A 13,169-nucleotide genomic window follows, 5' to 3' on the forward strand; every position below is an offset into this window, starting at 1 on the left:
CACTGACTAGATTTACAACCTTGAATATAATAGTAAGATCAGTTTATTTGTAAAAGTTCATCAAGCTTGATGTTTGTCTGTATATTGAGTAGGGCAAGATTTTAACTGAATTTTTCCCACTATGCTACATATAAGGAATAGAACTCTGGGCTCTCAATCACACAATCATTTGTTATGTTCTTTGGTTAAGGATTCTTCAAAAAGCTACTAAGTCATCTTTTGCCAGCATTACAAAAGAGCTATATTCCTTGATTAATTGAATGCAAAGGAATATTATTTCACATCCAGATGATACTTGGCTTTCAGTTTATTCTCAAGTCAAATACTACTCACTATTTCTCAACAACCCATCTTTTGGCATGTCTTAGTCCATTCTTGGTTCTTGTATTGCTATAAAAGAATACCTGAGACTGGATAATTTATAAGGAAAAGTGGTTTATTTTGGCACATGTTTCTTCTGGCTGTACAGGAATTGTGATGCTGGTATCTGCTTTTGTTGAGGCCTCAGGAAGCTTCCAGTCATGACAGAAGAAGAAGGAGCAGGCATATCACATAATGAGAGCAGGAGCAAGAGATGGAGGTGTGGGGAGGTTCCATACTCTTTTCAACAACTAGATATCACATGAGTTAACTGAGAAAGAACTCACTTACCACCAAGGGGATGTTAAGCCGTTTATGAAGGATCCACCTCCATAATCCAATCACCTCCCACAAGACCCTCCTCCAACATTGGGGGTTACATTTCAACATGAGATTTGGAGGCAATAGACATCTAAACCACATAATTCTACCTCTGGCTTGCTCCTCAAACCTCATGCTTTTCTTCCATTGTGAAAAGAACAATCATCCCTTCTCAATAGTTTCCCCAAATCTTAACTCATTCCAGCATCAATGAAAAGTCCAAAGTCCAAAGTTTCATCTCAGCACACATGAGCCTGTGTGCTCCATGAGACTCCTTCCACATATGAGCCTGTAAAATGAAAACTATGTTATTTACTTCCAAGATATAATGATGGTATACTCATTGACTAGACATTCCCATTCCAAAAGGGAGAAATAGGCCAAATAAAGGGTCAGTAGGCCCCAAACAAGTCTGAAGCCAGGCAGAGTGATCATTAAATCTTAAATCTCCAAAATACTATTCTTTCACTTCATGTCTTGCATCCAGGGAACATTTATGCAAGGGGTAGGCTCCCAAGGACCTGCGCAGCTCTGCCCCTTTAGCTTTGCAGGGTGTAGCCCCCATGGCTGCTTTCATAGGTTGGAGTATGGTGCCTGTGACTTTTCCAGGCTAAGAGTGCAAGGTACTGGTGTTTCTACCTTTCTTGGGTCTGAGGGTTGCAGCCCATTTCCTGCAGCTCCACTAGGCAGTATCCCAGTGGGGACTCTGTTTGGGGGCTCCAACGCTACATTTCTCCTCTGTACTGCTCTAGTAGAGGCTCTCTGTGAGGGTTATGCCCCTGTGGCAGGCTTCTGTCTGGGCACCCAGACTTTTTCATACATTCTTTGAAATCTACAGGGAAGCTACCAGGCCTCCTTCATGCTTGCATTTGTGCACCTACAAATTTCATGCCATGTGGAAGCTGCCAAGGCTTAGGGCTTGTGCCCTCTGGAGTAGTGGCCTGAACTGTCTGGGGCCCTTTGAGCTGTGGCTGGAGTTAGACTAGCCAGGGTTCAGGAAACAGTGTCTTGAGGCTGAGCAGGACAACAGGGCCCTGGGCCTGTCTCCTGAAACCATTCTTCCCTTTTAGGCCTCTGGGCCTGTGATAGGAGGGGCTGGCTTCAATATCTCTGAAATGCCTCTGAAACCTTTTCCATTGTCTTGGATATTAGCACTCTAGCTCCCTTTTAATCATGCTAATCTCTACAGCTAGTGATCGTTCCATAGCCTGCTTGTATTGCTCTCCTGAAAATGCTTTTTTCTTTCTTTACCACATAGCTAGGCTGCAAATCCTTCAAACATTCACCCTCTGCTACCCTTTTAAATTTAAGTTCCAACTGTAAGTTATTTCTTTGCTTCAGTATCTGATCATAGGCTGCTAGAAGTAGCCAGGCCACATCTTGAATGCTTTGCTCCTTAGAAATTTCTTCCACCGGATTCCCTAAGTTATCACTCTTAAGTTCAAACTTCTACAGATCCCTAGGACATGGACACAATGCAGCCAAGTTCTTTGCTACAGCATAACACAGGTGACCTCTACTATAGTTTCCAATAAAGTTCTCACTTCCGTCTGAGACCTTGTCAGCCTGGCCTTCACTGTCAATATTTCTATTAGCATTTTGGTTACAACCCCTTAAAAAGTCTCTAAGAAGTTCCAAACTTTCCCTTGTCTTCCTGTATTCTTTTGAGACCTCCAAATTCTTCCACCCTCTGCCCATTACCCAGTTCCAAAGCTGCTTCCACATTTTCAGATATCTTTATAGCAATGCCCCACTCCTCAGTATTAATTTTCTGTGTTAATCTGTTTACGTGTTGCTATAAAGAAATACTTGAGACAGGGTAATTTATAAAGAAAAGTGTCAGGCCTCTGAGCCCAAGCTAAGCCATCATATCCCTTGTGACCTGCACGTATACATCCAGACGGCCTGAAGCAACTGAAGATCCACAAAAGAAGTGAAAATAGCCTTAACTGATGACATTCCACCATTGTGATTTGTTTCTGCTCCACCCTAACTGATCAATGTACTTTGTAATCTCCCCCACCCTTAAGAAGGCTCTTTGTAATTCTCCCCACCCTTGAGAATGTACTTTGTGCGATCCACCCCTTGTCCACAAAACATTGCTCCTAATTCCACCATCTACCCCAAAATCTATAAGAACTAATGATAATCCCATCACACTTTGCTGACTCCTTTTTCAGACTCAGCCAGCCTGCACCCAGGTGAAATAAACAGCCTTGTTGCTCACACAAAGCCTGTTTGGTGGTCTTTTCACATGGACACGTGAGACATTTGGTGCCAAAGACCTGGGTCAGCGGGACTCCTTTGGGAGACCAGTCCCCTGTCCTCACCCTCACTCCATGAAGAGATCTATCTATGACCTCGGGTCCTCAGACCAACCAGCCCAAGGAACATCTCACCTATTTTAAATTGGGTAAGCAGTCTCTTTTTACTCTCTTCTCCAACCTCTCTCACTATCCCTCAACCTCTTTCTCCTTTCAATCTTGGCACCACCCTTCAATCTCTCCCTTCTCTTAATTTCAATTCCTTTCATTTTCTGGTAGACAAAGGAGACACATTTTATCTGTGGACCCAAAACTCCGGCGCCGGTCACAGACTCAGGAAGGCAGCCTTCCCTTGGTGTTTAGTCATTGTGGGGATGCCTGCTTGATTATTCACCCACATTTCAGAGGTGTCTGATCATGTGGGAATGCCTGCCTTGGTCATTCATCCTTAGCAGCAAGCTCCACTTTTCGGGGGGGCAAGCACCCCCCACCCCTTCTCCCATGTCTCTACCCTTCTCTTTAAACTTGCCTCCTTCACTATGGGCAACCTTCCACCCTCCATTCCTCCTTCTTCTCCCTTAGCCTGTGTTCTCAAGAACTTAAAACCTCTTCAACTCTCGCCTGACCTAAAATCTAAGCATCTTATTTTCTTCTGCAACGCTGCTTGGTCCCAATACAAACTCGACAATGGTTCTAAATGGCCAGAAAAAGGCACTTTTGATTTCTCCATCTTACGAAATTTTTGTCGAAAAATGGGCAATTGGTCTGAGGTGCCTTACATCCAGGCATTTTTCACACTTTGTTTCCTCCCTAGTCTCTGTTCCCAATGCAACTCATCCCAAATCCTCCTTCTTTCCCTCCCGCCTGTCCCTTCAGTCCCAACCCCAAGTGTCGCTGAGTCTCGTGAATCTTCCTTTTATACTGACCAATCTGACCTCTCACCTCCTCCCCAGACTGCTCCTCCTCAGGTCGCTCCCCGCCAGGCTGAATCAGGCTCCAACTCTTCTTCAGCCTCTGCTCCCCAACCCTATAACCCTTCTATTACCTCCCCTCCCCACACCCAGTCTTGTTTACAGTTTCATTCTGTGACTAGCTCTCCCCAACCTGCCCAACAATTTTCTCTTAGAGAGGTGGCTGGAGCTGAAGGCATAGTCAGGGTACATGTGCCTTTTTCTCTATCAGACCTTTCCCAAATCAGCCAGCATTTAGGTTCTTTCTCATCAGACCCCACTAAATATGTACAGGAATTCCGATATCCTACAATTTAACCTGGAGTGACTTAAATGTCATCCTAACTTCTACCCTCTCCCCAGATGAACAGGAAAGAGTTTTTTCTCTAGCCCAATCTCATGCTGACAACTGCCAGCTCCATGAGCCAGACCTCCAGGAAGGCATTAGAGCAGTTCCCCAAGAGGATCCCCAATGGAACTATCAGGCAGATTCCCCAGGTATAGCTAGTTGAGATTACATGATTTCCTGCCTAGTTGAAGGGTTTAAAAAGGCAGTTTACAAAGCTGTTAATTATGACAAGCTTAAAGAAACTACCCAAGGTAAAGATGAAAACCGAGCCTAGCTCATGGCCCGCTTAGCAGCAACCCTTAGATGCTTTACTGCCCTAGATCCAGAGGGGCCAGAAGGCCGCCTTATTCTTAATATGCATTTTATCACCCAATCCACTCCTGACATTAGGAAAAAACTTCAAAAATTATAATCCAGCCCTCAGACCCCACAACAGCAATTAATCAACCTTGCCTTCAAGGTGTACAATAATAGAGAGGAGGCAGCCAGACAGCAACGCATTTCCGAGTTACAATTACTTGCCTCCGCTGTGAGACAAAACCCAGCCGCACCTCCAGCATACAAGAACTTCAAAATGCCTAAGCCGCACACACCTAAGCTACAGCAGTCAAGCATTCTTACAAGACTTCCTCCATCAGGATCTTGCTTCAAGCGCCAGAAATCTGGCCACTGGGCCAAGGAATGCCTGCAGCCCGGGACTCCTCCCAAGCCATGTCCCACCTGTGCAGGGACCCACTGGAAATCAGACTGTCCAGCTCACCCGGCAGCCACTCCTAGAGCCCCTAAAGCTCTGGTCCAAGGCTCTCTGACTAACTCCTTCCCAGATCTGCTCAGCTTAGAGGCTGAAGACTGATGCTGCCTGATCGCCTCGGAAGCCCCCTGGACCATCACGGACGCCAAGCTTTGGGTAACTCTTACAGTGGAGGGTAAGTCCCTCCCCTGTTTAATCGATATGGGGGCTACCCACTCCACATTACCTTCTTTTCAAGGGCCTGTTTCCCTTGCCTCCATAACTTTTGTGGGTATTGATGGCCAAGCTTCAAAACCCCTTAAAACTCCCCCACTCTGGGGCCAACTTGGACAACATTGTTTTATGCATTCTTTTTTAGTTATCGCTACCTTCCCAGTTCCCTTATTAGGCTGAGACATTTTAACCAAATTATCTGCTTCCCTGACTATTCCTGGACTACAGCCACATCTTATTGCTGCCCTTCTTCCCAAACCAAAGCCTCCTTTGTGTCTTCCTGTCATATCCCCCCACCTTAACCCACAACTATGGGACATCTGTACTCCCTCCCTGGCAACTGATCACATGCCCATCACCATCCCATTAAAACCTAATCACTCTTACCCCGCTCAATGCCAGTATCCCATCCCACAGCATGCTTTAAAAGGATTAAAGCCTGTTATCACTCGCCTCTTACAGCATGGGCTTCTAAAACCTATAAATTATCCTTACAATTCCCCCATTTTACCTGTCCAAAAACCAGACGAGTCTTACAGGTTAATTCAGGATCTGTGCCTTATCAACCAAATTGTTTTGCCTGTCCACCTTGTAGTGCCCAACCCGTACACTCTTTTGTCCTCAATACCTTCCTCCACAGCTGACTATTCCGTTCTTGACCTTAAAGATGCTTTTTTTCACTGTTCCCCTGCACCCCTCATCCCAGCCTCTCTTTGCTTTTACCTGGACTGACCCTGACACCCATCAGTCCCAGCAGCTTACCTGGGCTGTGCTGCCGCAAGTCTTCAGGGACAGCCCTCATTACTTCAGCCAAGCTGTTTATCATGATTTACTTTCTTTCCACCTCTCCGCTTCTCACCTTATTCAATATATTGAGGACCTTCTACTTTGTAGCCCCTCCTTTGAATCTTCTCAACAAGACACCCTCCTGCTTCTTCAACATTTATTCTCCAAAGGATATTGGGTATCCCCCTCAAAAGCTCAAATTTCTTCCCCATCCATTACCTACCTCGGCATAATTCTTCATGAAAACACACGTGCTCTCACTGCCGATTGTGTCCAACTGACCTCTCAAACCCCAACACCGTCTATAAACAACAACTCCTTTCCTTCCTAGGCATGGTTGGATACTTTTGACTTTAGATACCTGGTTTTGCCATCCTAACAAAACCATTATATAAACTCACAAAAGGAAACCTAGCTGACCTCATAGATCCTAAATCCTTTCCCCACTCCTCTTTCCATTCCTTGAAGACAGCTTTAGAGACTGCCCCCATACTAACTCTCTCTGACTCATCCCAACCCTTATCATTATACAGAGCCGAAGCGCAGGGCTGTGCAGTCAGAATTCTTACACAAGGACCAAGACCACGCCCTGTAGCCTTTTTGTCCAAACAATTTGACCTTACTGTTTTAGGCTGGCCATCATGTCTCCATGCAGCGGCTGCCACTGCCCTAATATTTTTAGAGGCCCTCAAAATCACAAACTATGCTCAACTCACTCTCTACAGCTCTCATAACTTCAAAAATCTATTTTCTTCCTCACACCTGACACATATACTTTCTGCTCCCTGGCTCCTTCAACTATACTCACTCTTTGTTGAGTCTCCCACAATTACCATTGTTCCTGTCCTAGACTTCAGTCTGGCCTCCCACATTATTCCAGATACTGCACCTGACCCCATGATTGTTTCTCTGCGATCCACCTGACATTCACCCCATTTTCCCATATTTCCTTCTTTCCTGTTCCTCACCCTGATCACATTTGGTTTATTGATGGCAGTTCCACCAGGCCTAATCGCCACTCACTAGCATAGGCAGGGTATGCTATAGTATCTTCCACATCTATCATTGAGGCTACTGCTCTGCCCGCCTCCACTACCTCTCAGCAAGCAGAACTCATTGCCTTAACTCCAGCCCTCACCCTTGCAAAGGGACTACATATCAATATTTATACTGACTCTAAATATGCCTTCCATATCCTGCACCACCATGCTGTTGTATGGGCTGAAAGAGGTTTCCTCACTATGCAAGGGTCCTCCATCATTAATGCCTCTTTAATAAAAACTCTTCTCAAGGCTGCTTTACTTCCAAAAGAAGCTGGAGTCATTCACTGCAAGGGCCACCAAAAGGCATCAGATCCTATCGCTCAGGGCAACACGTATGCTGATAAGGTAGCTAAAGAAGCAGCTAGAATTCCAACTTCTGTCCCTCACAGCCAGTTTTTCTCTTTCTCATCGGTCACTCCCACCTACTCCCCTGCTGAAACTTCTGCCTATCAATCTCTTCCCACACAAGGCAAATGGTTCTTAGACCAAGGAAAATATCTCCTTCCAGCCTCACAGGCCCATTCTATTCTGTCATCATTTCACAACCTCTTCCATGTAGGTTACAAGCCGCTAGCCTGCCTCTTAGAACCTCTCATTTCCTTTCCATCGTGGAAATCTATCCTCAAGGAAATCACTTTTCAGTGTTCCATCTGATATTCTACTACCTACCCCTCATGGATTGTTCAGGCCCCCTCCCTTTCCTACACATCAAGCTCAGGGATTTGCCCTGCCCAGGACTGGCAAATTGACTTACATGCCCCAAGTCAGGAAACTAAAATACCTCTTGGTCTGGGTAGACACTTTCACTGGATGGGTAGAGGTCTTTCCCACAGGGTCTGAGAAGGCCACTGTGGTCATTTCTTCCCTTCTGTCAGACATAATTCCTCAGTTTGGCCTTCCCACCTCTATACAGTCTAATAATGGACTGGCCCTTATTAGTCAAATCACCCAAGCAGTTTCTCAGGCTCTTGGTATTCAGTGGAACCTTCATACTCCTTATTGTCCTCAATCTTCAGGAAAGGTAGAACGGACTAATGGTCTTTTAAAGACACACTTCACCAAGCTCAGCCTCCAACTTAAAAAGGACTGGACAGTACTTTTTACCTCTTGCCCTTCTCAGAATTAGAGCCTGTCCTCGAGATGCTACAGGGTACAGTCCCTTTGAACTTTTATATGGACGCACATTCTTACTCGGCCCCAACCTCATCCCAGACACCAGCCCTCTAGGAGACTATCTTCCAGTCCTCCAGCAGGCTAGACAGGAAATTCGCCCTGCTGCTAATCTTCTCTTGCCTACTCCAGATTCCCAGCCACAGGAAGACACCCTAGCTGGACGATCAGTTCTTGTTAAGAATCTGACCCCTCAAACTCTACAACCTCGATGAACCGGACCCTATTTAGTCATCTATAGTACTCTAACCACTATCCACCTATAGGACCCTCCCCACTGGGTTCACCATTCCAGGATAAAGCTGTGTCTGTCAGCCAGCCAGACTGATATCTCCTCTTCCTCCTGGAAGTCGCAAGTACTCTCCCCTACTTCCCTTAAACTCACTCACATTTCTGAAGAACAATAAGAACCCTTATGAGCTTAATACATCCCTTCATTCTATTAGGTCTATCCATCCTTACCCTACTCTTTGCAACAGGGCTTTACACAGTCACCCCCACTACTTAGACTGCGCCCCAAAAAGTTGTCATTCCTACTATATTCTGTCTAGTCATACTCCTATTCACCATTCTCAACTACTCATAAATGACCTGCTCTTGTTTACACTGCCGGTTTACATTGTTCCTCCAAGACATCACAGCTGATATCTTCTGGTGCTATCCCCAAACCGCCACTCTTGACTCCCTCTTAGAGTGGATAGATGATTTTTGGTGGTAGGGCATCCTCCAATACTTCCACCCTGATGAAGTTCTATTCTTTAGTTTTCTACTCACTCTTATTCTCATTCCCATTCTTATGCCACTCTCTACCTCTCCCTAGTTACCTCCAGCATGCTGTCAATCTCACCCACTCTCTCCTCACTGCCTCCAATCCTTCTCTAGCAAAGGGTTGTTGGCTATGCATTTCCCTTTCTTCCTGCTTTTACACAGCCATCCCCACGCTACAGGCTGACTGGGCTACCTGCCCCATCTCCCTACACCTCAGAACCTCCTTTAATAGCCCTCATCTGTACCCGCCTGAGGAACTTCTTTACTTTCTAGACAGATTTGGTGAGAACTCTCCAGACATTTCACACCAACAAGCTGCCACACTTTTCCGCATCTACTTACGGCAACTTTCTCCTTATGTCAGTTTCACCCGCCCCATATTTGGATCCCTAACCACACAAACAACTATCCCTGTTGCCATTCCTTTATGCATCTCCCAACAACAGCCTACTGGAATCCCTTTAGGCAACCTTCCACTGTCCAAATGTTCCTTTACTCTTTATCTCCAGAACCCAGCCGCACACATTACCAAACAGATGGGAGCATTCCAACTTCACATTACTGATAAGCCCTCTATCATTACTGACAAACTAAAAAACATTGGCAGTCACTATTGTTCAGGAAGACACCTACCCTGCATCTCACTACATCCTTGGCTACCCTCCCGCTGCTCGTCTGAATCTCCTCCTAGCCCTTCCTCTTGCTTTCTTATACCCAGCCCCATAAATAGCAGTGAAAGGTTACTTGTAGACACTATGTGCTTTCTCATACAGCATGAAAACTGAACCCCTCGCTATACGCAGTTGCACCATCAATCCCCATTACAACCTCTAATGGCTGCTGCCCTTGCTGGATCTCTAGGATTTTGGGTGTAGGATTCCTCTTTCAGTACACCCTCTCACCTTTTCACTTTACATTTCCAGTTCTGCCTGACACAAGGTCTCTTCTTTTTATGTGGCTCTTCCACCTATGTGTGCCTACCTGCCAACTGGATGGGCACATGTACTCTAGTTTTTCTTACCCCCAAAATCCAGTTTGCAGATGGGAATGAACAACTGCCTGTCCCCCTCATGACATCAACATGACAAAAAAGAGTCATCCCACTAGTCCCTTTACTTGTGGGTCTAGGACTTTCTGCCTGCACTATTGCACTTGGAACTGGAATAGCAGGCATCTCAACCACTGCCACAACATTCTGCAGCCTCTCTAATGACTTCTCTGCTATCATTACAAATATATCACAAACTTTATCGTTCTCCAAGCCCAGGTTGACTCTTTAGCTGCAGTTGTCCTCCAGAACCGCCGAGACCTCGATTTACTCACTGCTGAAAAAGGAGGACTGTATATATTTTTAAATGAAGAGTGTTGTTTTTACCTAAATCAATCTGGCCTGGTATATGACAACATAAAAAACTCAAGGATAGAGCCCAAAAACTCGCCAACTAAGCAAACAATAACATTGAACCCCCTTGGACACTCTCTAATTGGACGTCCTGGGTGCTCCCAATTCTTAGTCCTTTAACACCTATTTTTCTCCTTCTCTTATTTGGACCTTGTGTCTTTCATTTAGTTTCTCAATTCATACAAAACTGCATCCAGGCCATCACCAATAATTCTGTATGACAAATGTTCCTTCTAACAACCCCACAATATCACCTTACCCCAAAATCTTCCTTCAGCTTAATATCTCCCACTCTAGGTTCCCACATCGCCCCTAATCCCTCTTGAAGCAGCCCTGAGAGACATCGCCAATTATCTCTCCCTCCCACCCCCCAAAATTTTCGCTGACCCAGCACTTCACCACTATTTTGTTTTGCTTTTCTTAGTCATATAAGAAGACAGGAATGTCAGGCCTCTGAGCCCAAGCTAAGCCGTCATATCCCCTGTGACTTGCATGTATACATCCAGATGGCCTGAAGCAACTGAAGATCCACAGAAGAAAATAGCCTTAACTGATGACATTCCACCACTGCGATTTGTTTCTGCCCCACCCTAACTGATCAATGTACTTTGTAATCTCCCCAACCCTTAAGAAGGTTCTTTGTAATTCTCCCCACCCTTGAGAATGTACTCGTGAGATCCACCCCCTGCCCACAAAACATTGCTCCTAACTCCACTGTCTATCCCAAAACCTGTAAGAACTAATGATAATCCCATCACCCTTTGCTGACTCTCTTTTTGGACTCAGCCTGCCTGCACCTAGGTAAAATAAACAGCTTTATTACTCACACGAAGCCTGTTTGGTGGTCTCTTCACACGAACGCGTGAGACAAAAAGTGGTTTATTTTGGTTCATGGTTCTGCAGGCTATACAAGATGCATGGTGCTGGCATCTGCTGCTGGTGAGGGCTTTGGGAAGCTTCTAATCATGGTGGAAGGTGAAGGAGGAACAGGCGCATCATGTAGTAAGAGCAGAACAAGGGCTGGGGGCGGCAGGGTGGGTTTCATGTTCCTTTAAACAACCAGATCTCACATGAACTATCTGAGCAAGAGCTCACCTATCATCAAGAGGATGTCACTAAACCATTCATGAGGAATCCACCCCCATGACCTAATTACCTTACACCAGGCTCCACCTCTAACATTGGAGATTACGTTGCAACATGAGATTTGGAGGGGATACACTTCTAAACCATATCATAAAGTGAATAATTATGGATGGATGATGGTTGAAGAGTGTGAAAATTCTGTATTATATCATGTTAATCTTTCCTGATCTGTGTTCTGTGAGGTCTCTCATATCTTAATTGGTATCCTAAGGGAAAAAAAGTGTTCTGAGTCTTAAAAGGTGCAGCAAAACTACGTTAAACTAATTCAATATTTGGATTTGTGTTTTTTAGAATGGCAATAATTCTCCAAACTTTTATATATTAAAATATTTTGACTGGCTGACTCAAGTCTATGGTGTAGTTGGAGTGTGAGAATGAGTGAACTATGTAGGATTTCTAAAAAGAACTCTACTTATAGAATGCCTTTATTAATTTATTTTTTTTCAAATAGGGCCCTATTACTAGCAATCAGAATACTTGTATTCAAAATACTAGAATACAATATGGAGAATACTGATACTGATTTTAAAAATATACCCCTAAGTAAAGCTATAAGAGCATAAAATAGTTACCTAGCTCATATAATTTGGGATTTTTATGGCTTTTATTGCTTTAACTAAATTGTTCTTTGGTGCAATTTTATTGGTCTACACTCAAGGACACTACAGGCAACAGTCCTATAAAATGCTTTGCTTTGTCTAATGTAAGGATATTATTGTGATATATAGATAATAGCAAGAGTGTGAAACTTATGGCAGGGCTGGGGGCTAGAGGAGGGATAGCATTTGGAGAAATACCTAATGTAGATGACAAGTTGATGGGTGCAGCAAACCACCACGGCACATGTATACCTATGTAACAAATCTGCACATTCTGCACATGTATCCCAGAACCGGGCGCAGTGGCTCACGCCTGTAATCCGAGCACTTTGGGAGGCCGAGGCGGGGGGATCACAAGGTCAGGAGATCGAGACCATCCTGGTGAACACGGTGAAACCCTGTCTCTACTAAAAATACAAAAATATTAGCTGGGCGTGGCGGCGGGCACCTGTAGTCCCAGCTACTCAGGAGGCTGAGGCAGGAGAATGGCGTGAACCCGGTAGGCAGAGCTTGCAGTGAGCCAAGATGGCACCACTGCACTCCAGCCTGGGAGACTCCATCTCAAAAAAACAAACAAAAACAAAAAACAAAACAAAACAAAAAAAACAAAAAAAAAACTTATGGCAGATTGTATTTTCTAAAAAGGACCTCAATAATATTCCCATTCCCACATGCTCTTATGCAATGTGACCTTGTTAGTATTCCATTAAGAGATGGATCTATTTCTCCTTCCTCCTAAGTCTGGGTGGGCTTTGTGACTGACTGCTTTCACAAAAGTAAGTGATATGACTTCTGAGGTTAGGTAATAAGAAGGTTTTCAGTCTCTACTAGAACCTTTTGTAATGCTTGCTTTCAGGATGCTCCCTCAAGAATCCCAGAATCTATGCTGTGTGAAACCCAAATAACATGGAGAGACCATAAATGGGTGTTTGGTGGGCAGCCGCTGTCAAGATTACAGTCGACAGCCATGTCAGATCACTGTAGCCTCAGTTAATATCTGACCACAGCTGCATGAGAAACTCTGGGTGATAACTACACTGCTGAGGC

General features: G+C 44.8%; 1 long non-coding RNA gene across 1 annotated transcript; it reads right to left on the reverse strand.

Moving 5' to 3' along the window:
• Positions 1-415: 415 nt before the first annotated feature.
• On the reverse strand, positions 416-12,282 carry LOC124904203 (uncharacterized). The gene is made up of 2 exons (XR_007066179.1): positions 11,205-12,282; positions 416-970 (listed from the first exon to the last, which is right to left on the reverse strand). It is a non-coding gene; the product is annotated as an uncharacterized LOC124904203 (long non-coding RNA).
• Positions 12,283-13,169: the final 887 nt, after the last annotated feature.

Source organism: Homo sapiens, chromosome 1 (assembly GCF_000001405.40).
Source record: "Homo sapiens chromosome 1, GRCh38.p14 Primary Assembly".
NCBI lineage: Eukaryota > Metazoa > Chordata > Mammalia > Primates > Hominidae > Homo > Homo sapiens.